General features: G+C 37.7%; 1 protein-coding gene across 16 annotated transcripts in view, besides 1 other annotated feature; it reads left to right on the forward strand.

Annotated features, from left to right (window-relative positions):
* The window catches only part of ADAMTSL1 (ADAMTS like 1), a 1,004,318-nt gene that overhangs the window by 683,157 nt on the left and 293,933 nt on the right, over positions 1-27,228 (forward strand). The gene's annotated exons all lie outside the window — the stretch shown is intronic.
* Positions 16,891-17,500: an enhancer, noted in NCBI's record as "NANOG hESC enhancer chr9:18606678-18607287 (GRCh37/hg19 assembly coordinates)". NCBI's record gives its function as "activates a minimal SCP1, AML or CMV promoter by ChIP-STARR-seq in naive H9 embryonic stem cells {active_cell/tissue: H9 hESC(naive)}" and the evidence as "EXISTENCE:reporter gene assay evidence [ECO:0000049][PMID:30033119]".

Raw genomic sequence — 27,228 nt, forward strand, 5'->3', positions numbered from 1 at the left:
TTTTATGAAATGTCTTTTCAGCGTCTATTGAAATGATCATATCATTTTCATTCTTGATTTTGTTCATGTACTGTATCATTATTAATTTGTAAATGTTGATCATCCTTGCATCCCTGGAATTATTCCCTCTTAATCATGGTGAATGGTCTTTTTAATGTATTGTTGAATTCTGTTTGCTAGTATTTTGTGGAGTATTTTTCCACATACGTTCATGAAGGAGCTTGGCCTGTAGTTTTCTTTTTGGTTATGTCTTTGTCTGGTTTTGGTATTAGGGTAATGTTGGCCTCATTGGATAAGTTTGAAAGTTTTCTCTCCTCTTTGATTGTTTTTTTAAATGTTTGGTAGAATTCAGCAGTGAAGTCATTGGGTCCTGGGTGTGACTTTGATGGAAGACCATTTATTACTTGTTTGATCTCTTTATTCATCATTGATCTGTTCAGTTTTCTGTTTTCTCCTGATATGTTGAATGTGTCAAGGAGTTTATCCATTTCTAGGTTTTCCAATTTATTGGTATATAATTGTTTATAATAGTCTAATGATCACTTATATTTCTATGGTGTCACCTGTAATGTTTCCTTTTTCATCTCTGATTTTAATTATTTGAGTCTTCTCTATTTTTTTCTTTGTTAGCCTAACTAATGGTTTGTTGATGTTGTTTATCTTTTCAAAAACTCAACTTTTCGTTTTGTTGACCTTTTGTATTAGTTTTTAGTCTCAATTTCATTTATTTCTGCTCACATCTTCAGTATTTATTTTCTGCTACTAATTTAGGGTTTAGTTTGTTCTTTTTTTTCTAATTCCTTGAGATGCATCATTAGGTTGTTTATTTAGATTATTTATATTGTTTTGATATAAGCATTTATTGCTATAAATGTCCATCTTAGTATCACTCTTCCTGTATCCCATAGTTTTTGGTACATTGTACTTCCGTTTTCATGTTTCTCAAGAATTTTTAAAAATTCCTTCTTTATGTATTGACTCAGTAAGCATTCAGGAGCATATTTAATTTCCATGTATTTGTATAGTTTCCAAAGTTCGTCTATATTTGTATAGTTTTGAAAGTTATTGATTTCTAGTTTTATTTCATTGTGGTCAAAAAAGATACTTGATATAATTTGAATAATTTTGAATTTTTTAAGATTTGTTGTGTGTCCTAATATATGGCTTATTCTGGAAAATGTTCCATGTGTTGATAGGAAAAGTATGTATTCTGTAGCAGTTGGATGAAATATTCTGTAAATGTCTGTTACACCATTTGGTCTAGAATATAGTTTAACCCTGATGCTTTTTTGTTAAATTTCTGTCTGGATGATCTGTCCATTGCTAAAAGTGGGGTGCCCTACTATTTTTGTATTGCCATCTATCTCTCCTTTTAGATCTGTTAAAATTTGCTTTATATATTTGGATGTGCTAGTGTTGGGTGCATATATATTTACTATTGTTACATCCTCTTGCTGAATTAACTCTTTTATCATTATATAATGACCTTTGTCTCTTTTTACAGTTTTTGACTTAAAGTCTCTTTTATATGATGTAAGTTGAGCTACTTCTGCTCTTTTTTGGTTTCTATTTGCATGGAGTATCTTTTCCCATCCCTTCACTTTCAGTTTGTGTGCCCTTATAGGTGAAGTGAGCTTCTTGTTTACAGCGTATAGTTGGGCCTTATTATTTATTCCATTCAGCCACTCTTTATCTTTTAATTGAAGAATTTAGCCCATTTACATTTAATGTTATTATCGATAAGTAAGGACTTCTTATTGCCATTTGGTTAGTTGTTTTCTTGTGATTTTGTAACCTCTCTCTTCCTTTTTTACTGTCTTTCTTTGTGCCTAAGTGATTTTTCTCTAATATTAGGTTGGTGCAAAAGTTATTGTGGTTTTGGACCATAAATTTTAAATCACTGTAACTAGGCTCAAACACATCTTTATTAACCAGAATAGGAGCCATTACAATCAGTACATTTTGGCCAATGAGAAATAAGTTTGTTTATTCCTGTAGCATAAAAATTCATGCTTCAGGATTTGACTAACTCTTGGAAAGCATTTTCTGCATCCTGCTGGTTGTGGAGGCATTTTCCCTGCAAAAAGTTATCGAGATGCTTGAAGAAGTGGTAAGCAGTTGGCAAGAGTTCAGGTGAGTATGGCAGATGAGGCAAAACTTATAGCCCAATTCATTGACTTTTGAAGTGTTGGTTGTGCAATATGCAGTCAGGCATTGTCATGAAGAAAAATTGGGCCCTTTCTGTTAACCAATGCCGGCTGCAGGTGTTGCAGTTTTCAGTGCATCTCATTGATTTGCTAAGCATACTTCTTTGAGATAATGGTTTCACCAGGATTCAGAAAGCTGTAGTGGATCAGATTGGCAGCAAAACACCAGACAGTGAGCATGACCTTTTTTTTTGGTGCAAGTTTGGTTTTGGGGAGTGCTTTGGATCATCTCTTGGTCAAACCACTGAGCTGTTCTTCATTGCTTGTCATATAAAATCCATTTTTCATCACACATCACAATCCAATCAAGAAATGGTTCCTTGTTGTCGCACAGAATAAGAGAAGATGACATTTCAAAATTATGATATTTTTTCTGATCAGCTCATGAGGTACCCACTTATCAAGCTTTATCATCTTTCCAATTTGCTTCAAATGCTGAATGTCCACAGATTGGTTGCCATTGAGTTATTTTGCAACTTCTCATGTAGTTGTAAGAGGATCAGCTTCGATGATTGCTCTCAGTTGGTTGTTGTCAACTTTCGATGGCCGACCATTATGCTCCTCATCTTCAAGCCTCCTTGACTCCTTTGCAAAACTTCTCAGTACCATGCTATTTTCGTTACTATATCTCTGTAGTAAAATTTGAAGTCAGATAATGTGATTCCTCAGTTTTGTTCTTTTTGCTCAGGATAGCTTTGGCTATTCTGGGTCTTTTGTGGTTCCATGTACATCTTAGGATTGTTTTTTCTATTTCTGTGAAGAATGTCTTTGGTATTTTGACAGAGATTGCAATGAATCTGTAGATTGTTTTGAATAGTATAGACATTTTAACAATATTGATTCTTCCAATCCATGAACATGGAATCTTTTTTCATTTTTTGGTGTACTGTTCAGTTTCTTTCATCAGTGTTTTACAGTTTTCATCATAGAGATATTTCACTTCTCTGGTTAATACCTAGGTATTTTATTTTATTTGTAGCTATTGTAAATGAGATTACTTTCTTGATATCTTTTTCAGATTGTTCATTTTTGGCATATAGAAATGCTGCTGATTTTTATACATTAATTTTGTATCTGGCAACTTTGCTGAATTTGTTTAACAGTTCTAATAGTTTTCTTGTGGGTCTTTAGGTTTTTCCAAATATAAGATTATATAATCTGCAAACAAGGATAATTTGACTTCTTTCTTTCCAATTTGGAAACCCTTTATTTCTTGCAGCAGTTTGATTTCTCTAGCTAGGACTTCCAGTAGTATGTTAAATAACATGTTGGAAGTGGACATCCTTGTTGTGTTTCATATATTAAAGGAAAGCTTTCAGTTTTTCCCCATTCAATTTTATTTGTCTTCTCTAAGAAACTATTTTTGTTTCCTTGATCTTTTATATTGTTTTCCTCATTTCAATTTCATTTATTTCTGCTCTGATCTTTATTTTTTTACATCTACTAATTTGTGTTTGGTTTGCTCTTATTTTTCTAGTTCTTTAAGATGTACTGTTAAATTGTTTATTTGAAATTTTTCCTCTTTTTTGATGTAGGTGCTTATAGGTATAAACTTCCCTCTTAGTACTGCTTATACTGTATCCCATATATTTTGTTATGTCATGTTTTCATTATCTATAATTTGTTTCAAGAGGTTTTTCAATTTTCTTCTTAATGTATTCATTCACCCACTGGTCATTCAGGAGCATATTGTTTAATTTCCATGTGTTTGTATAGTTTCCAAAATTCCTCTTGTTATTAATTTCTAGTTTTATTCCATTGTGTTCAGAGAAGATGCTTAATATTATTTCAGGTTTTTTTTTAATGTTATGAGATTTGTTTTGTTACCTAACATATGGGCTGTCCTTGAGAATGATCCATGTGCTAAGGAAATTATGTGTATTCTGCAGCCACTGAATGAAATGTTCTATAAATATCTATTAGATCCATTTTGTCTTTAGTACAGATTAAGTCCAGTGTTTCTTTGTAGATTTTCTTTTTACCATTTCTTGTAGATGGTTTTGTTTGGTAATGATAAATTCCCTCTGTGTTTTTTGTTTTTTTGTTGTTTTGAGTTTTGAGGGTTGTCCTTTTGGTTTATTTTTAGTCTGGAAAAGTCTTTAGTTCTCTTTCATTTCTGAAGGATATTTTTACAGGGTACAATCTTTTTGTTGACATTTTTTTTTCCTTCAGCGTTCTGAGCGTATTTTCCCACTCCTTCCTGGCCTGTAGGGTTTCTAAGAAGTCTCCTTCCAGTTGTATTTGATCTCCTTTATAAGTTATTTACTTCTTTTCTCTTTCTGCTTTCAGGATTCTTTTCTTTTACCTTTGTGAATTTAATTATATCTGATTGGTGACTTTTGACTTTCCTGTATCTGGATACTTATAACTGTCTTCAGATTTGGACATTTTTCTGTTACTACTTTTTTGAATATTGTCTCTACACCTTTCTTTCTCAGTTCCCTCTTTAACACCAGTAACTCAAATATTTGCTTTTTGATGTCCTGTAGATCCCATAAACTTTGTTCATTCCTTTTCATTCTTTCTTTTCTGACTGTATATTTTCAAAGAGTCTGTCTTCAAGTGCACTGATTGTTTCTTCTGTTTGATTAATCCAGCTGTTTATGCTCTCTCTTACATTTTTCACTTTATTCATTATATGTTTCAGCTCCAAGGTTGATTTTTAAAAATTATTTTAATTTCTCTATTTAATTTCTCTGATAAATTTTTGAATGAACTCTCTGTCTCTTGAATTTCACTGATCATCCTTAAAACAGCTATTTTGAGTTATTTGTCTGAGAGGTCACACCTCTCCATCCCTTTAGGGTTGATCTCTGGCGTCTTGTCTGTTTGGTGCAGCCATATTTTCCTGAATGTTCTTGGTGCTTGTGAAAGAGCAACAATGTCTGTGCATTGAGGAATTAGGTAATTATTTTATTCTTCAAAGGGTGGTTTTCTTTGTGCTTGTCCTTCTTCAGAGGGCCTTCCAGGGATTCTAAGCTGACTGACTATGGTGTTCCCTGAGTCATTCACAGGTGAAGATGTCTCAGCACTAGAGGATGTTCCAAGCCCTATCTTGCCCACAAGTCTCACAAATGCTCAGAAGTTGATGTGGCCATCTGTCCCAGATGGATCTGGGGAAGATCCAAGGAGAGTAATAGGGCTATGTGGGAATGCTGGCCAAGGAACTGAGTGCAGAAGACTATCCTTTTGGCCCAAGAGAGGGATCCTTGCCTGTAGGCCTCTGCCCAGGTAGGATGGGTCCCTTACTGCAGTGAAAGGGGCTGGAGTTGAGATTGAGCATTTGGGGATCTTCTGTGAGAAGGAGGCTGGTGGTCTGTCTTATTGGATCAGATGGACATGCATCACCCAGCAGGTCCCTGCACAGACGGGAGAGTTCCTCAACTGCAGCAGGAGAGGCTGGAGCTGAGACTGGGCCCCCTTGAGATCTGCTATGGGATAGAGGCTGGAGAGCCTGGTCTTAGCTCAGAAAAGTAAGTTCCTGCACAGGTAGGATGGTTCTCCTACTGCAGTGAAAGGGCCAGGGCTGAGACTGGACTTCTTGGAATCTGCTTTGGGACAGAAGTAGATGAGCCTGTCAGGGAGGCTCAGACTGCCAGGCTTGACGTATGGACAAGTCTCCCTCTAAGCTGGGATCTTAGCTGAGGAAGGCTGGAATAGTGCCCCAGGGCAAATTTCGGGTCCACTGCCAAGGCCAATGTCAGCAAGCTGATGAGCCTTTCTACCAAGGCAGTAGTGTACACAGTTCTTTCTGGACCCCTTGGCAGATGATTTTGGTTGTAGGCTTAAGGCCAAATGCGGCTGTAGCCAAGCCCCTTCAGGGACTGGGCTGTTTCTGGGCTTGAACCCAGAAGCAAGTTTGGCAGAGCAGATCTGTCAGCTGGGTATTGGTCTGCACTCTCAAAATGACCCTCCTAGGTCATGGGCTCTGCTAGGCTTTCACAGACTCCTATCTGAATTCCAAGGCTCAAACAGAGAGACTTTTTACTGTGGATAGGTGCAGAATTGTTGTTGTGGGGGAATATGAGCAGGTTACCTCCTATTCTGCTATCTTGGTGACATCATCCCCACAGAAGACAGTTTTGAAACTGAAAGGGAATTTGAAATTTTGTAGTTTAATATTTCCATTTACATTTAAGATATCTGAAGCCTAAGTGGGTTCAATCAATTTTTAAAAAAGTTCTGCCGTGTGGGTCTGAATTAGGTTCAATGGGGACATGAACGTAAGTGTTATACCATCATGTCTTTAAGAAGCTTATAATTGTGTAGTGATGAGATTCAAACAAAAATAACTATAATCAGCAGTACGTGGTGTGGGCTTTAATTTTGTATCCAATCAGATACAAATTTGAAGTCCAGCTTCTGATCTTACTATCTGTGTGATCATGGACTAATTTACTAGGTTCTTTTAGCTTCAATTTTTTCATCTGTACAAACAGAGGTAACAATATCTAATTTTAATGAAAGCCAATATTTATTTATTTATTGGGCACTGAGCACTGACATGGTGCCTCAGCCTCCTGAGTAGCTGGGATTACAGGTGCGCACCACCACACCTGTAAGACACCGTGCTATGTAAGCATATGCCAGGCACTGTGCTATGTGAACATTTCACATATGTTACCACCTTTAATCCTTGTGTGAACCTATGTGAGGTGATATTGTTACAATTTTATAGAGGAGGAAAATGAGGTTATGAGAGATTTTGTATTGTTGATTTATTCATTCAACAGATTTTTATTGAGCATCTACTAATGCTAGACATTATGCTAAAATACCAGAAATGCAACTATGAGTACAGGATGCAATGGGAACATACAGAAGAAGTGAAACACTGTAATTCAGTTTTGAAGACGTAGACAAGGCTCTAAGGTCCAGCTCTAGGGTCACTTTCTTTCTCAGGAACTCATGTAAGTCCTTCAGCAAAACTCCTAGGGGAATTAATATTCATTTTCTTCTCTTAGCACCTGTTTCCTTCTTCTTTCTTTTGTCTTATATTAAATTTCATGACCATATAGCCAATTAGATTGAGAACTTCTTACTAGGAGAGACCACATATTACTCATCTTTAGTTTCTTTATATTATGTTGCTCAATATGACTGCCACAGCATGGATGGAGCAACGAGTCAATAAATCTCTCTGTTGGCTATTTTTGTCTCTTGATGACCAAGCCCTCCCTAAAACACATAAATTATTCATCTTAAATGTCTTTTTTATCTTTTAATATATTTGTGCCTTGCTCTCATTTCCTTCAGGCTGTGAAACAGAGCCTGTTGATGTGAGCTAAATTTTGCTGTATTCTAGGCTAGGAGTAATTTGTAATTTGGGATCTGCTGCCATCTACTCCTTATTTACCATGGCTTAGGATTAAATTGGATAATCTTCAGTCATATTTCTAATTATTTCAACTCTCTCTATTATTAATATGCTTATCAAGTTGTTGACCCTAAAATACTAGTCTTTCCAAAACTTGAAGTACAAGGTTTAAAAGTATATTAAAAATTTGAAAGATTTGAAACCTTGTCCTTGGCTTTTTGTTTATTTAAGTCAAATTAAAAATAGGCAAAGTAGAATTCAGGAAGCCTTTTTGAGACTGGGTGTCTTATGACACTTCATGTAATTGTTTAAAAAATGTTAAAAATCAAATTCAAATGTGAAAGACAATTAGTAATTATACATGGGCTAACTGGCATACTTCCAAGGAAATATCAAGTGAGGAAAGGGATGATTTTTTTTAATGTTGTAGCTACTTTAATTGTAAAGATCCTTAATGAAAAAAATTTAAAGCATCAAGTACCTTCCAGATTTTGAGCCTTTGAACATAATTGTACCCAAGTTTTAGCACATTCATGGTTGCCAAAGACTCCCTTGGAACAATCCTAATAAGGGCTGCTTTCCAGAGTCAGGAAAATCCACCCAGGCCCTAAAATTAGTATAATAAACCCCACCTGTCATCTCTATTGCCTCTTTGGTTAGACTGCCCTGAGGAGCCCAAATCAAGAAGGAACAAAGTGTTTTTGATGTGGACTGACTGCTTGTGATCCAAGAGAACACTTAAGATTCTGAAAAATCTAGGGAGAATGGCAAGCAATGATCTGTGTGGTTAATAGAACAACAAGGCCAAGACAAATTCAGAGACCCTGGGGATATTTTGAACCTCTCTACAAAGCTAATCGCAAATCAGTACCTTTGAAAGGGACCGTGGAGAAATTATCAGCTGAATCTCCTTATTTTGTTTTATTTTATTTTATATGAAACATAAAATATGACCAGCATCAGGGCAGGATGTGACTTACCCGAAGTCTCTCAACTAGCAAGTGGCAAAGCCAGAAACACTCAAACCTGGGTCTTCTGGCTCCAAGTCCACTGCTCTTTAATCTGAATGAAGTGAGAATGCTTTTTATGTGTGTTTTTAAGAACCTTTAAACAAAAAATTTAAAGTACTTTATTTGGATTATTTATTCATTTTTGTTCGTCTCTTTTTATTTGGATTATTCATTTTTGTTTGTCCCTTTCACCATTACTAAGTGCACTTCAGTCCCTGTGCTAAATTTCCCTCCCTTGTGGCCAGATGATCACAGGAACATTCCATTTACTTAAAAGTAGTTGTATTATTTAAAAAAAAAATCAAGTGGGAAACTTCACCAACAATGCAACATTCCAAAAACATAATGCTCATCATTTCCACTCCTGTAGAAATGCCGAGTGCAAACCCACTGCACCTGCACACCATAGTGATCTCAGGGTGGCCAAGAGCTGGTGGCTGACTAGTGCTGTGTGAGCATGGGTTTATAAATGCACTTGAGTACCAGTTTAGTTTCTTTGCCATCAGCGTTACAAGTGATTTAAGTAACAGATATTTCAGAGAAAGGGACGGGGTGGGCTGGGGAGGAAAGCTTGAGAAGAAGCAGCCAAAGTCACACTCAAATGAAAGAATATACCCAGTGTTTTGTTTTCCCAAGTTTTTGACTATACTTCATACTGTCCTCTCTGCCCCACAGGTTCTCATGGTGGGGGAGGATTTCTGTCTCCTCCCTACTCCTGAGGGTGACTGTCAACTTCTGAGGCAGAAATCTCAGTATTAGGGTTGATTGACAGAAAGATTTATTAATTTGTTGATGCACCCATCCATGCAATAGTCTTTTATTGAGCCACATGATATAATGTCCGTTCAGCAGTTTCCACTCTTGGCTTTTTTATTTGACACAAGTTAGGGATGAAAGGATTTGTTTTTTGAATAGGGTAACAAGGATTTGCTTTGCTTGGGTAAAAATACAATTTGGCTTGTTAAAGAGGCAAAGGCACACTTAGTGGTGAAGCAAGTCCAGCTCTCCTGGCACCTGTCTTTTCCTTTCTGAAGGTGTGCCTTGGGACAGGCATGGGCCTCAATTATTGAAGGGGTGGGTGCTTAGGAGGAGGTAGGATCATCTTGTCAGTTTAGAGGAGCACTGATTCTCCTCATGCATGGGTTTCTATTTTTTAATCTGGAGAAATATTTTTATGCTCACTTAAAACATGCTCTCTTAGGCAGTGGGTAGGAAGAATGGTTTTGTCAAGGCTATTTGGGTTTAGCCTCCCATTTTCCCAGTAGTAGTCTCCAAGTTTCTCCCTATAATTCAAAGTATCATTTTTTAGTTTTCTCCCTGAGTTTCGTGGCTCTAAAGCAGAAGTTGCAAACTAGCAATGCTCCAGCCAGATGCAGCCTATGGATAACTTCTGTTCTGCACCCATCATGGGCTTCTGTAAAAATTTGAATTAGTTGCCAGTATTTGAATATAATTAAATTATATTTATATAATTTATTTATAACTGTAATATTTCCAGTAAAAATCTGGATTCAAAACAGATTTTTAATCCTTTAAAAATCAGATCTGGCTGGGCGCGGTGGCTCACGCCTGTAATCCCAGCACTTTGGGAGGCCGAGGCGGGCAGATCAGAAGGTCAGGAAATCGAGATCATCCTGGCTAACATGGTGAAACCTCGTCTCTACTAAAAATACAAAAAAAAAAAAAAAAAAAAAAAAATTCGGATCTGCAGCATTTGGTCTGTACTCCAATACAGCAAACATCTGATAGAGCTGAAATGACACTGCTGCCTTGAGATGCTGCATACTCTTTGGGGCCTCTTTCACTCACTGCACAGCCTGGACCTGTAGCTATCTGCTTCTCTGATGCTTCCCCAAAGGCTATATAGGCTAGGTATTTCTAAGGGGAAGGAGAAAGAACTATTGTTATCATGATGGTAATGATAAGAATAGAAAAACGATCCTCATATATTAAGCTCTAACCATGCCAGACACTCCCAAGTACTTAACATGCTATTTAAACCTCAGAGAACCCCATCTACTGCCCAAAAAGTCTAGTTTTCTTGCCCAAGGTCATGTAACTTGTGAGTGACTGAATTAGGATTTGAACTCAGATCTGTCTGACCCTATAGCCTGTGCTTTTTATTTTACTGTACTGATTCATAGAATTATACTTCCCTCCTAGACAACCCTCCCTGAATTTTAAGCCCCTGAGAATCTATGACTGGATACCAAGAATTGGGGTCCCTACTTGCCACTGGTTTTTGGGTTTCTATGAGAAACAGTAGAAAAGAGAAGTTCTGATTATCACTGGTGGGGCTCCTTCTGCTTTCATCTCATCTAGCTCAGGATCAGCTCTGGGTGCTAAGGCATACAGCCATTCTCCTGAGTAAAAGGAACTCTTTGGAAACTTTTTCTACTAAATCAATTTGATGCCACATTAAAGGCTTTAAAAAGAACATTTGAGGTAAAGAGCAACTACTCAAATTTTTAAAATCTAAAGAAACAAAAATATAAACTCTTAGCCTGTACCTATGGTTGTTTCAAAAGAAAAAGAATAAATTTCTTATTCTTGGAACTATACATCTCATTTACGTTATTTTTCTTTCTTCCTGTTGATTCCAACCCCCACATCATCTTTAAAGCCTACTGCTTTTCAAATCCAGAGTATTGTCAATTTCCTATTGGTTTCCTTCAGCATTATTCTCCTTCACTTGTGTTTCTTTTCTTTCTGATTTCTCAAAACCTTAAACTAACTCTCTCAGTTTTCTCTATCTCCTTTTGAAAACTCTGGGAATACATTTCCTAATAGAGTTTCCTTCTGTATACTCAGCTCCAGAATAGGACAATAAGTGCCCTTCCTGGTGAAATACATATACTCTATTTTAGGATTCTTTTGGTTACAAGCAATAGAAATTTAGTCTGCTCAACCTAAGATCAAAAGGATGAATCATTGAAAGGATAAAGATTAATGACAAGAACATCAACTATGTATTTAGCAAAATAAGTATTGGGCAACTAGAACCAAACAGAAAGCTCAAAGGCCAGGCCTCAAGAAGCACAAGTGCCAGGGCAACTTTGAGGTCCTCAGCTACAGGTGTGCACAGATCTGGCAAAAAATAACTTAGCTCTAATCATATTCTGACTCTTTCTGTCTCCAGCCAATTTTCAAATTCCCAGGGAAGAGAGTCTGGCCTAGTCTAAGTGTCTCTATTACTGAATTAATTAGCCATGGCCAGGGGATGGAGTGACTAACACAGTCATGGCCAGTGAGGATTTCCTAGGGATGCTATAAGTGACCATGGGCATAGTGCCAGGTCTGTAATTATTTTTGTATATTTATTTCTAAATTAGGGATTTGGTCTATATGAAAGGTGATTTTATTAAATATGTGTAGCATATATCATACATCATAAATAATGTATAGTATAATGTAGCACATATATACACATTTATATATTACATTATACATTATAATATACATTATATATAGATGTAATGTAGCATATCTATACATTTCCATAGATATTATATATATAGTGTATATTGAAGTACATAGCTTCTGATGTATAGTAAAATAATTTGACAGAAGGTTCTTAGAACTTTTAAAAATGACATTTTTATTGGTTAGAGATTCAGTCTGAGAAATATCTCATATCTTTTCCTATAACAGGAAAGAATTTATTAAGGCAATAGTTTTGTAAATCTCATTAAAGTTTTACCATCTTCGTGATTGTTAGCAATTGTAAGCAGGGCAATGCAGTACAGGCTTCTGCATAAGAAATGTCTTCCTAGTTAGTGAATGGATGTGATTTCACTACTGCCTACTGCCTATGAGAAGGTAGTCATATCTTGAGTCATTCTTCTGCTGCCTTTACAATGAATTGCATCTTTTATGCTTTGGTGGATGTATTTGTTAGGCTGGGAGTGCTCAGAAGTTGATAATGATAGACAAGCCATGGAAAACTTCTGTCTTGGTTCATACTAAAATCTTTTTGCACTAGGACAAAACGAAACTTCTGCTGCAAACATGAGCCTCCTCTCTTCTTTAGCCAAAAGTTCACCAGGGTTCAAACAATTTCTTAATGGATTCCAGCAAGATTTTGTGGGGCTATAAGAAATGTTTCTGGTTTGCAGCGTAGAGGAATGTGTCTTGCACAGTACCAGCACTGGAATCAGGACCCACCTGGATTCAAGCCCCAGACTGGGCTTCTAATCTGGTTCTGATTTTGGGGGGACTTGGCAGCCTGCCTTTATTGTTCCAGGGTATTGCTGCCATTCTTTAATTCAGAGCTCACATCTCACCTCCTCCATCAACCCTTCCCAGGTTGTTGAGAAATCAGCCCCATCTGTACCCCAAATCTAGTACAAGTTCCTTTTATTCTCCCTCTCAAACAAATCTGTCAGACACAGTCACTTCTCAGTTGTCCATACTGATAAAGGAATACATTTCTGTAGGTAATCTATGATATCTAGTCTATGGAGACTTTTTCTTCCCTGTAGAAAGGTATCTGACACATGAAGTTAAGTAGGTCGGACAATGAGAACTGGCAACACTGGAATGCCCACTGAAGGGACTGTGTGTTTGTGTGGGTGAGTTTTCTCTGAATTTTTGATACTTACTTTCTAAATACTCCCATTTTTCTTCCTTAGATCAATAGGCAACTTCTAAGAGGTAAAAAATGAGGTAAATATTTTTACGTAAAATGAGAGCTAAGTTTCTGACTTTTGAAGAACATCAGAAAATAATATTTTAAAACACCAACTAACATCCACTTACTTTTGTTCTTCTTCAACCCCTATGGCTGGGTTTGTTGTTGTAATCATTAATAGTAATGGTAGGTGTTCCATGATTAAACTCTGAGAGCTTTCTATTCCTTTGTTGAATCCTTATAACAACAACTCTTGGAGGTATGATTGGTACCATTTTACAGGTGAAGAAACCAAGGCCTAGAAAGATGAGGTGACTTGGAAAAAGTTATGCAGCTAATAAATAGCAGAACTTAGATTCAGATTTAGATCCATCTGTCTCCAAAGCTATATGCTATGCTATGCTATGCTATGCTATGCTATGCTATGCTATGCTATGCTATGCTATGCTATGCTATGCTATGCTATACTGTGCTATACTGTACTATGCAGTATTGTTGGGTCCATATATGTCTTGCTCAGTAGAAGAACAGTGAGTGCAAACACATGGAGTTTTGTCCACATCTTGTTAGAAAGAGGCCATAGGACCAGCTGGTATTTAGGGCAGAGGCATCATTCCATACCTCCTCAACAACCAACCCACATAGCAGATGTTTACTTTTATTTGTTTCTATAATGACACAGCTCTATGTATTCCTTGTATTAGTTGCTTCTGTGTCTGTTGCTTTTCTGCCTCCTATTCTTTTTTTATTATAGTAAAATGTAACATAGATTTTACCATTTGAACCCTTTTAAGTATATACTTCAGGGACATTAAATACATTCACGTTGTTGTGCCATCTCCAGGACTTTTTCATCTTCCCAAACTGACACTCTATGCCTATTAACCAATAACTCCCTGTTAGAAATACCAAAATTGTTAGAAATAGATAATTGGTGCCACAAAGAAAAGACAGTACAGAGACAAAAGATCTCTCAGCAAGGCAATCTTTACTTTCTGCAGAAAGGGTGCTCAGTCGCAGATGGAACAATGGCGAGAGCACACCTGAACAAAGGAAAAGCAGGCATATTTATCCCTATGCATTTGGGTTGTCCTTACTGCTGTGTCCTGCATCCATTGGCTGGAGCTGGACCTCATATTCTGAAACTGACACCCAATTTGCTAACAGCCTAAAACTTTCCTAAATAGGTAAGTGCAAGGAAGAACAAAGAATTTGCTTACAAAAGGTTTAAGGAGGCAATAACATTTCCAAATAAGGAAGGGGCATAGGCTGCAAGCTGGAACGTGCCTGTGAGCATGTCCAACAATTACATAGGGTAGGGCTTAACAAAGAGTTATTAGCACAAAGCAAGGAGGCTTGAGGAAAGTTAGTCTTTAAAAGAAACTATTATTTCTAACACTTATGGTTTACTCTTTAACAAGAAGGAAAACTTTGAAGAGGAAACTTTCACTTTCTATGCTCCCCATTTTCCCCTCTTCCTAACCCCCAGTAATCACCATCTATTTTCTTTCTCTATGAATTTGACTATTTGGGGTGCCTAGTATAATGAAATCATATAATATTTGTCCTTTTTTTGTCTGGTTTATTTTACTTAACCTAAGGTCTTCAAGGTTCTTCTATGTCATAGCAAGTCATAATTACATTCCTTTTTAGAGCTGAATAATATTTTGTTGTATGAATATATAACATTTTATCCATTTGGCATCTATGGACACTTGGGTTGTTTCCCCCTTTTGGCTATTGTGAATTATGCTGCTGTGAACATAGGCACACAAGTGTATGTTCAAGTCCTTGTCTGCAATTCTTGTAGGTAGATAGGCGCAAAAGTAGCATTACAGAATCACGTGGTAATTGCATGTTTAATTTTTTTAGGAACAGCCATACTGTTTTCTGCAGGGCTGCACCATTTTACATTCCCACCAGTTCTGCCTCCTACTCATGCCTACTCTTAGTTTATGAAGCCCTCTAGAGCATAGCTGCTGCAACTTTTGAGTCTTTTACCCTTTAACAGCTAGGACAATACCATTCCCATAAAGAGTGTTGATTAAAAGACATGCTCACTGTAGTGGAGATCATGATACTAAAATTACTTCAGCTTCTCCAGGAGATTTACAAATGTTCGGCCATGGAACTCCTCTCACTTGTATTCTTCCCTACCTTTTTTCCCTCTTCTGCTCCCAAGCTCAGAAAATAACCATGAAAATAGTGAGATGCCTCTCTGCAGGAAAAAAATAAAAGTGTAACTGTGCCTCTTTGCATACCAATGGGGTATTTCAGAGAGTGGCAACCTGTTTATCTATGCAGTTGTTGATTTATGATCGCCAGTACATGTTTGGCAGGCTGAATCCACATCTGCAATTTAAATGACTGCTTACAAAATGAGCCTTTTTTCCCTAATATCCAATTAGGACCAAGCGCTGGCATTGTAGATGAAAAAGCGGTTATGTTGAAAACAGTTCTAATCCCAATTGCAAAAGAAGTTATCACTGGTGGAACTATCAGAAAAACACTTGCTTCAGGCATGCAATCTTGACAGTCTACACATTTTAAGGCAAGAGCATGTTTGTACTCAGCAATGGGTTCTGCACTCCACCTTGGGAAAGAAGAACAGAAAAGACAGCCTGCTTTTGGTGTAGGCCCAGAGACAGCATCAGGCCTCAGATGAGTTTCCCACGTAACTCTTCCTATATCCCTCATTTTGTAACTGCATCACCCCGGTACTATAATCTTGAACACTTTTGGTGCTAAAGCTGCCAATTTTCCTGATTTTGTGTAATTTTTTGAGGTTCACAAATAGAAACAAGTGTACAAATATTCCATTCACATGCTTTCTAAATGTTTTTATTTTACCTTTGACTGAAAGGGGTCAAAGCTGAGTATAAAGGTGCTTTGATATTGGAACACACTCTCCTTGCGTCACGCTTGACCCAGGCTGGGTGGTGGAAGCAGAGGTAGGTGCTACTTGTGTGAACTGTGTGTTCAAGTCAGCATGCTCTGGAATTGATAGTGTGTCATTCTGGGCTTTCTACCCCTTTCTGACACTGCGTGGTACAAACCAAAAGTTCACATTGGGGTCATGATTGCTGGCTTTTGGCAGGGCTTGGCGAGAAGGTCTCTGCAGGGTTAGGCCGCCCAGATGCGAGCTGTTTGGGCTGAGTTCAGTTTGTTTCCATTTGCTCCCTCTCCCTCCTCCCCTCTCCTCAGTCATGCCAACTGCTACTGGAGATGTTTTTCCTCTGTTTAAGGTAATAACCGAGTCAATGCTGAAGCCAAGCTATAGGCAAGCATTGAAAATAAATTTTCAAGGGGGTTGTTTTCATATTATTAGGAAAAGCCTTGGAATCTTTTTGAAAGTTTTTGTTTCCTGAGAAACTGCCCTTTGGGAATATCTTTGTTTTTTGAGTGCCTTTAGCTTGGTGCTGAGAAATAAACTTAGGAAATATGATTGAGATGTAGTGGGCTAGGTTTTTAAACAAAATGCTCTAAACATTCCCTCAAAAACCATTTCTCTAAACAGAGCGCTCGCATGAGTAGCTGATTAGTACATGTGGTGCTGCCTGACCTCTTGAGGATACACACTGTTTGCTTGAAAGTCCCCTGGTATATTAGGTGACCTAGTGTAATAGGAATGACATTTTTTAAAGAGACTAAATCCCAATTCTGTCATTTTCTAGATAGGTGATATAGGCAGTTGCTTTGGTTTTGTCACCTGTTCAGTTGCAGAGTTTGTTTTACAGGCTTCACGAACTCTGTAAAACACCTGACAGGACTTGATCCACACACCGTACTTCATAAACACCACAATTCCTTCCCCCCCAGTTTTCTTATTTATTGCCTCTTCTCGGCCTCAAGTTTGGTAAGTGAGAACCATCCGCTGCTGCAGTCTATAATTTCCTAATGTAATTTCCCACTCTTCAGAATAATTGTGGCTCACAGTATTTATTTTCTCCCTTCCTGCCAACTGAGATACAACCTCCATTCACTTGCCCTAAGACAAAAGGTTTTGTGGCTTCCAGCTGTGAAGACCAGATCTCACTGAGACAAACAACTGCTGTTATCTTAGGGAAAAAGACAAACCAGCCAACAATGAGCAATCCATGTAAGCCTTGCTCTTAACACACTCATTAAAAAGAATTTTGAAATTGAGGTTGGAAATCATCTGACAACTCAATGCCTAAATGTTGTGGGGAGCATGTTCATAAAAATTCTTCTAGTAAGAAATGTGTTCATCTCCCCTTTGATATGTATCCCAGCCTGTGATTCACTGGAACATGCCTGCACCTACAGAATATAGTTCAACTTTCGATTGTAAAATTTTAATGTTGAAAAACAGCCCGAAGTCTAGGTCAACACTCTGCCAAGAATTCACTTGAAACAACTGTTGAAAACCATAAAATTCGTGGTCAAATATGTTTTTCTATCGAATATGGCATTTGATAGACCCACTTTGTAGAATATGGGGACTTTTCAATTTAGATTCACATAGATATATTGAAAAGAACGCATTGCATATTTTTTTTCAAATGACTCAAAATTTTTTTAATTGACGCTGTATTATGCAATACATTTGAAACTATAATCTTTGGTGATGATTCCATGCAGCATTTTCATAATTTCTTTTATTATTATTATTATTATTATGCTTTAAGTTTTAGGGTACATGTGCACAACATGCAGGTTTGTTACCTATGTATACACGTGCCATGTTGGTGTGCTGCACCCATTAACTCATCATTTAGCATTAGGTATATTTCCTAATGCTATCCCTCCCCCCTACCCCCACCCCACAACAGTCCCCAGAGTGCGATGTTCCCCTTCCTGTGTCCCTGTGTTCTCATTGTTCAGTTCCCACCTATGAGTGAGAACATGCGGTGTTCGGTTTTTTGTCATTGCGATAGTTTGCCGAGAATGTTGGTTTCCAGCTTCATCCATGTCCCTACAAAGGACATGAACTCATCATTTTTTATGACTACATAGTATTCCATGGTGTATTTGTGCCACATTTTCTTAATCTAGTCTATCATTGTCGGACATAAACCACTTATTGCAAATTACATGCTTTTTTATACATAATACATGCAGAAGAAATGCAACGTGATGCAATATAGCCAAATTTGATTGTGGTGTGAACCATAAAAATTGGAAATGCCTTTTCTTCTTTTCCCATGGTCCACCATGAAGCAGTAAGGTTAGGGTACAGAAGCAGGTAATTTGGGTACTTTTAAGGGGATTTGAAGATAGCATATACACTTCCTGTGTTAAGGTAATTCTTTTTAACTAGTTTGGGACAACTGACTAAACACCAATAACTATTATAAAACTGTAGTGTTTAAAAAATTTCTGAACTTAAATATTCCAGTTACTACACGATTTAATTTCACTCTCTAATTAGATATATGCTGTGTGTTGAATTCTGTCAGATTTGGAATTTATAGTTTCAGCTGGATTTAAACTAGACTATAGCAGGAAAGAAAAAGAATTCATTTCTATGCATGTGAGTGGGGGGTTAGTGGAATCTTAATCTTTCTGAATGGGAAAATGTATGCAGTCCTTTCTTTTCATCTCAGCGCCTTTGAGTGAATTTGCTTTTGTCTAAAATGAAAGGAGAAACAGCTCATTTTTCCATTGTCATAATAGTGCAGTGATTCAGCAAAATGTAACTGATTATCCTGAACCCACAAGGCTAGAGTTAGAAAGAGTAGCCAAATTGCTACCTCCAGCTACTTCCAACTCAGTCCCATCACTATATCCAGCAGCTCACCTTTCATCTGGCTCTGGAAATTTGGGGATCATTAAAAATCAGCCAGCTCACTTTTCTCTTAGGATTTTGTGACTCCTGTTTGATTGGTTCATTGTTAATTCTGATTAATAAGAATTTAAATTCCCAACTTCCAGAAGACTACTTTTCCTTTTAAAAAGATCGTAACTGATTTGCTTTTGGCTTATTCATTTAGATTCAGGGATTCTTCTCCATTAAAATAAATAAATTTTGAATATCCCTTATACTAAGATGGGTTGCTGAATGCCCACTTTCTTTCATTACATTCAACTGGCATATTGATACATTCATATGGGCAGGAACTCCAAAGGAGAAAAAAGGAGAAAACTTGTCCCAGTCCCTGAAAATATGTCTTTCCCAGCACCTTAGGTTTTAGAAGAATGACTATGAGAAATCTCTATTTTGTGCTGACAGATAAATTTAATGATAGTTACTCGATTGTATATATTTGAAAGTGGTTCCTGAATTAACTCTGAAAAATCAGTAGTCCTGGAGTTGGAGAGCTAAGGAAGGATGTTTTCAGAATTCTAAACATTTCTCTTTAATTTGAGTAGAATGCAGAGGAGATGATTTGCTACTCCACAGCAATTTCAGAAAAGTATTTTTCATTTCTAACAGAACCCTACCAGAGGTCATTTCCCAAAGAGCCAACCATGCTTGCTGGTATTCCATTGGCTACTTTAGCAGGGTAGAGGGAAGTTAAAAAAAAAAAATTATCCAATGGAACTCCATCTGCTCTGACCTCTCAAGGAGAGTATATTCCTTCAATGGAATTTGAGTTGTGATCTTACTTCCTATATGCTGTTGTCAAATCCAAAGGGGCTGAAATAGATCTGAGCTTTTGCAAACTTGACCCTGTCTCCAGAGCTGTGGGACTTGGAGTCTACAGGTTCCCAGATCCCTAAGGCACCCTTTATAGCTTCAGATGCATTTCACATATATAATGAGAAAATACCTGCTATTTGCACAGTGACTACATATCCCCCCCCTAAAATAATCAACACACAGGGTCTGATAATTCTGGAGACTATGAAATAGAAGATTTGAAAATAGAGTTGTCTCAGAAATTCCAGGATAGTGGTCAGAGTTGTTATGTGCTAGGCAATGAACTGGATCTTTTTATATAAGCTATCACCTCAAATCCTTAGAACAAGTATATAAAATAGGTTGGATTATATAACTCACAAGAGAACTGAACTCGTACTGAGAGTGATATATTCAAGCCATCACATCCAGGTTGAGTTGTTGGTTGCACCACAATGTCATGCTGCCTCTTTTGTGGTTTAGGGTTCCACATCACATAGATTCTTGGTATAAATAATGATGTTCCAGGGTAAGAAGTGGCCAGGGAAGTGAACATGTGGATCAAAAACTGAGATGCAGCACTATGGTCTCGCTGGTCTTAAGTGTGACATTTCCAGAGGGGTAAATATACCTTTAGCAATTGTAAAGTTTATGGTAGAACTGGGGGTCATGTCATGGCTCTATTTGTTCTGTGACAGAGTAAAAATTATATTTTCTTAGCAGAAGAAATTTACTATTTCATCCAAATATTTTGTGCTATGGCTTTTTCCGCTGGGAAAGAATCTTACATTAACAACCTTTAGTTTCTCAAGCTGATCTGAAAATTCGCTGCCTTGTCCATGCATTTGAGATACTTTTGAGAGACAGAATTTTAGAGTTACTTTACAGATGATGCTTTTGCTTAAACTCTGCTTTTGATCAATTCTCTCCAGGCTCTACCCTAAAGAGACCCAATTTAGACAGATAGAAATGGCAGTAGAGAACCAGGAAGGAAAAAGGGTTATATTTGTTAATATTATCAGTTGAGGATGTCTTTAACAGACTTTGAAAGCAGGATATCGATAGCACTGTCAAAGAAGTTTCAAATTAATATAAAGTAATAAGTTTTGAGAGGTAACCAGGTAAGAGCCAAAGAATGACACAAGCCCTGCTAACTTGGAAATCTGAGATGCATAAACAATTGTGATGGGAGGAGAATTGTTTGGGGACATAGATAAATCCCTCTTCACCTTTCCTTTTCCATCCTCTCTAACGTTGACACACAAATGCAGCCAGCACACTATTGCTGTTGGAATATTGACTTCAGATAACATATCCAGACATGTAAACAAGAGTTTAATTGTGTGTAGAATTTTGTTTAAATTATGGACCATATCTGGAATTTAAAACTCTTTAAATATAAATTTCCAGAAAAATTTTCGGAGGTACACGTGTGAGTTCCAGCCATCATAGTAGAATAGCTACTTTGTGGTGACTTACTGAACAGACACATTCCAGTAAGATCCACATTTGTACCAGGGCAGAATACCAGCTGCTATCCTGTCTTCTCAACAAAGGACTCTTGTGTTTAAACAAAAACTGTGTACTGTATGCCCAGCAGCAGAAGGGAGTCTGAGCAGTGATGTCAAAGTATACCATGATGTCACCACAATTCACAAAGAATTACAGTTAATGCCATGTGAAGTGAGGCCAAATTCAACACTTTCCCTCTTGGGTACTTCACAGTCTGAGAGACAGAAGCAAGGCCAGAGGTCAGGCCTTTGTATAATTTTGTTTCGCATTCTCCAGACACCCTAATTTTGGAAGCAGGGGAGGGAGAAGACAGCCTGCTAAAGAGCAGTCCCTGACCATCTGCTGAGAATGAATTGTAGTGTCTGTATGCACAAATGTCTATACCAGGATAGTTCTTAGGATTTTTGCTGAAGACTACTAAAGAAACAAATTTCACCAAAAACAATACACAAAAAAATCCAGATGTGTTTAGCAAAAAATTTATGTAAGAATTTGTCCAAGACCCTGAAGTAAATAAGACGAGAACACAATAAATCAGACTGGGAGCACCTGAAGAGTTTTAATAAACGTTAGAAATCAGACTTACTTATTCTCTTTTTCCCTTTCAGAGTGTTTATCCAGCCATTAGATGGTTTAGATTCTTGACTTCAAGAAAGGCAATATAGGAAAAAATTATTTAAAATGTTTGCCATCTTAGCTCAAATAATAAAGGACAGAAATAGGACTCTTAAAAATTAGCACCTGGCAAAAGTTTATTCCTATGAAACCACGTCCTCCTCTATAATTTAACCACAGAGGCTGCCGAAGTTCCTACCCTTTGGTGGAGGTGGGAGTGTGTAGGTTGGATGCAGAAAGAGTGTGGCTTTGCCCCAGCCAGACCACCAGCCAAAGGGTCGGAGCTCACAAAAGGTAAAGGGAAGAGCCAGGCCAGGGGGTTGCCCAAGCTGAAGTCTATTAGGAAGAGCCAGGAATCAGGAACTCAGTAGATCAAGTACAAAGTGAATCTACAGATCCAGAGTTGGTGTCAGAGTCAGGGCATGAAGCCTGGGGCACTGTGCCTAGCAGGAAAGAAGTCAGAGGGAGGTACACTTGGAAATAATGAGCATTTATGCCCCAAGGCAATTCTGGAGTAGTGGGTGAAGGACCAGAGACATAGCAGGCAAGGTGACAAGTGGAAATTAAACTCTCAGATTACAGTGTTATAAAATGATTTGTCCTTAGAGATCTTTTTCTTTTAGAGAGTGTTCTTTTGGTCTTTGGAACCAGTGGCAGAGAGTTTAAATGGTAACAGCTGTTATGTTTTAGCTTGAGACAAAGGGGAAAATTCTTTGAAATCGCAATATATCCCTGTCACTTGTGGTGTTGCCTATAGGCTGAATCCATTCATTCATTGAACACATATATTTTAGTTGCTTGCTGTATGCCAGGCACTGTTCTAGGTGGACAGTGAACAGGGCATCCAAATATCATTGAAATACGCTTAATAAATATCAATGGAACAGAATAGAGAACCCAGAAATAAGACTGCACACCTACAACTGTCTGGTCTTTGACAAAAACAAGCAATGGGGAAAGGATTCCTTATTCAATAAATGGTTCTGGGATAACTGTCTAGCCATATGCAGAAAATTGAAACTGGATCACTTCCTTACACCACATGCAAAAATTAATTCACGATGGATTAAAGACTTAAGTGTAAAACCTAAAACTATAAAAATCCTGGAAGACAATGTAGGCAATACCATTCTGGACATAGGAACTGGCAAAGATTTCATGATGAAGACGCCAAAACCAACAGAAGCAAAAATTGACAAATGGGATCTAATTAAGCTAACAAACTTCTACACAGCGAAAGAAACTATCATCAGAGTGAACAGACAACCTACAGAATTGGAGAAAATATTTGCAAACTATGCATCTGACAAAGGTCTAACATCCAGCATCTATAAGAAATTAAACAAATTTATAAGAAAAAAACAATGCCATTAAAAGATGGGTAAAGGACATGAACAGGCACTTCTCAAAAGAAGACATTTATGTGACCAAAGAGCATATGGAAAAAAAGCTCAACATCACTGATCATTAGAGAAATGCAAACCAAAACCACAATGAGATAGCATTTCACACCAGTCAGAATAGCTATTATTAGAAGGTCAAAAAATAACAGATGCTGGTAAGGTTGTGGAAAAAAAGGAACACTTATACACTGTTGGTGGGAGTGTAAATTAGTTCAAGCATTGTGGAAGACAACATGGCACTTCCTCAAAGACCTAAAGACAGAAATACTATTTGGCCCAGTAATCCCATTCCTGGGTATATACCCAAAGGAATAGAAATTGTTCTGTTATAAAGGCACATGCACATGTATGTTCATTGCAGCACTGTTCACAATAGCAAAGACATGGAATCAACCTAAATGCCCATCAATGATAGACTGGATAAAGGAAATGTGGTAAAGAAACACCATGGAATATTATGCAGCCACAAAAAAGAATGAGATTATGTCCTTTGCAGGGACATGAATGGAGCTGGAGGCCATTATCCTTAACAAACTGACACAAGAACAAAAACAAAAAACAAACAAACAAAAACAAATACTGCATGTTATCACTTATAAGTGGGGGTAAATGACAAGAACACATGAAGACAAAAAGGGGAACAACAGACACTGGTGCCTACTTAAGGGTGAAGGGTGAGAGGAGGGACAGGATCAGAAAAAAACTATTGGGTACTAGGCTTAGTACCTGGGCAATGAAGTAATCTGTACAATATAGCCCACGACACGCATATACCTATGTAACAAAGCTGCACATCATGCACATGTACCCCTGAACTTAAAAGTTAAAAATTAAATATTATGACTGAGGAGAAATACAGCTTTAAATAGTCTGATCAAAGTAGATCTTATTGAGAAGGTATTAATTTTCTCAAACGAAGACTTCAAAGAGTCAGACAACTGCCGTCGAAGTGCCTGAGAAAGAGTGTTACAGCCAGAGGTAGCAACTCAGGGCTGTCCTAAGATGAGAAAGTGTTTGTTGTGTTTGAAGAACAGCAAAGAGACTGAGCCAGAGGAAGTGAGGTCAGAGAGGTCGTTCACATAGATGCTGTAGGACACTGTGGGCTGTTGTAAGGGTCTGGTGAACCTGCAAGGAAATTTGCTAGTCCTGGCTATGACTGCTAAACCCCAGAAGAGAGAACGCCAGGTGTGGGGAGGATGTGTATCCTCGTTCTGCGTGTCTCTTCATTGCCATCTAAACCTCAAGGGGAACATGGTATCTTATAGACTAGAGAGATGCTCATTGATGACACAGTGCTATTCAGCCTAGACTTCAACTCTGGTGACAACAAATCCTAGTAATGCGATTTGCGGCAAGTTGTGTTATCTTTCTGTTTCAGGTTTATTTTTGTGAAATAGACACAATTGTAGCTAATTTTCAAGGTTATTACAAGAATTGTGTGAGAAGCTATGTATCTAAAAATAGCAAGTTTTGGCAAACACTAGTTCACATTTCCTTCTGTAAGCAGGTTTCCCTCCTGTCTTTCTCCTCCTCCGTGCCCCTTTGACCTTTAGTTATACTGATCTTACTCCCTTTCTACTCTCACCTGTTCTGAGGAAATAATCTGATTAAAACCCCTCACCCTAGATTGAGACCAAGCCTACCACCTATATGTATTCGTAATAGCACCATAACAGCCAGCGTAATGCCTTATGCTCAGTTGATTTGGTCTAATTTAAGTATAATCAGCAACTTCATGTGTTACTCCTCCCAAGGGTATTGGAACAACAAACAGAGGACTACACCAGTGGTTCCCAACTTCTTAACACAAAGGAGCCCTTTATTTTTTTTTTCCTATGGGCCTTGTGTTTTGGAAGTTTCCATCTACTCAAAACACTGCATGTATTAAGTAATAATTTGTTTTCCCATTTTATAGCTAAAAGACCTGAGTTTGCAATTAAAAAATAAATACAGTAAGGGTCAGGATTCAGCTTATTTGTATAATGAGATGATTGGTGTTTTGGTGACCTTATGTAGTTTTATTGCAGATAAATATATTTCCATTAGGCTTTTGGAAACAGTAAACATAGCTCATGGAGCACTGTTACCACCTTTGCGAATTACTGGAGATTCTATTTTCTCATATTGGAAACCTTAGTTGTAAACCAAAAACAAAACAAAAAACAAACAAACAAAAAAACCAAGTGTGTAAAAGAGGGAATTTTGGTACCCATAACAAACCATGAGAGAGGTATGTATGCCTGCCTGTGTGGCAGGGGGAGGGGTAGGAGGTGACCGCAGGTGTTGTTGGGGCTGAGCCCCTTCCCCTTCACTTGCTATATGTGCTTCTGAGGCACAGATCACAGATGAAACCATCGTTCATCCCTGTGCGTAAGTGTAGCTCTAGAGGTAATGATCTTGATTAGAATATTCAAACTTGTTATTACCACTCACTATTGCCATATAAATATTGTATAGTATGCCTTTTCATGGTTAATGGGCATCCTACTATAATTTATAGTCAAAAAATCTCAAGGTGGAATTTTGGTTATGTTATTCACCAGCTATGTGACCTTGGGGAATTTATCTTCTCTGAACCTCAGTGTTATAATCTGAACTTGAAATCATTCAAATCTTAAGTTAAATAATGTCTATGGATAATTGTCTAAAAGGTAGGCAACCAATTCCTTTCTCTGGTTCTGAAATGGTAAATGGGTTTAGTTTCCTGATTTGACAACTATAGTCTATTGGATTCGGCTTCTAGAGCCCAGTGTCTTTACGAATCTGGAGCCACATAAAACCTCAGTGACAGAGAGTGCTGCTGCTGATTAGTAATATCTACTGTGGTCCTGGTAGGAGGTATAGCTGCACATGTGCCAGAATTTTGCCAGCCCTGCCCTAAGTACTCCAAAGTCTGCCCTTGGAGTAAATCAGACCATCATAATGCTCTTTACCTGGATGATTTGTTTTGGCTTCTTAAAAATTGCTTTTTTTTTTGGAGACAAAGTCTCGTTCTGTTGCCCAGGCTGGAGTGGAGTGACGCCATCTCGGCTCACTGCAACCTCTGCCTCCCAGGCTCAAACAATTCTCATTCCTCAGCTTCCTGAGTAGCTGGGGCTACAGGTGTTTGCCACCACACTGGGCTAATTTTATATTTTTAGTAGGGATGGGGTTTTGCCATACTGGCCAGGCTGGTCTCAAACTCGTGGCCTCAAGTGATCCGCCTGCCTTGGCCTCCCAAAGTGTTGGGATTACAGGCATAAGCCACCACACCCAGCATAAAATTTGCTTTTATCAAATGTCCCCTGACCATTAGGCTTCATCAGAGGTTATTAGAGCCACCTCTTTGAAACTGCTTGTATGTATTTGCTCAGATGTTATTGGGACATTGTTATATGACATTGTCTTTCAGAAGACTCACAATTAATGTGTATCTATTATTTTGGTACTTTAATTATGGTGCTCCCGAGTGGTTTTTGATTTATTCATTTATTACACAAATATTCATTGTCTACTATAAAGAACACATTATTGCATACATTTTCTAAAAGATCCAGTAGATTCTCTGACTCTTACAACTGCTTATGTGTTCCTATTTTCTAGGAAGCTCAAATCCAGATGTGACCTCCCCCCACCACATCTAGCAACTGTACAGGACGGCATAGTGTGCATTATGTTTAGTTCTCTCATTTCTAGATTTATCTTTCTTACCTTTGCCTTTTTGCTCCATTCACTCATTTGTTCTTGTGAATTTTATGGTTATTTATATGCTATAAATCTTTTTATTATTTAATGAAAGGTTAAGCATAAGCAAATTAATGAATATCTAAATCTTTTGAGGATGAGGTTAGAAATGCACTCCCTCCCCTATTTATTAAAATAATTAGTAAATAAAGGATAATCCATGTAAACCACACTGTTACCCATAAAGTTCTATCTAAATTAAGTAAATATAAATAAGAACAGCTATGG

Source organism: Homo sapiens, chromosome 9 (assembly GCF_000001405.40).
Source record: "Homo sapiens chromosome 9, GRCh38.p14 Primary Assembly".
Lineage (NCBI taxonomy): Eukaryota > Metazoa > Chordata > Mammalia > Primates > Hominidae > Homo > Homo sapiens.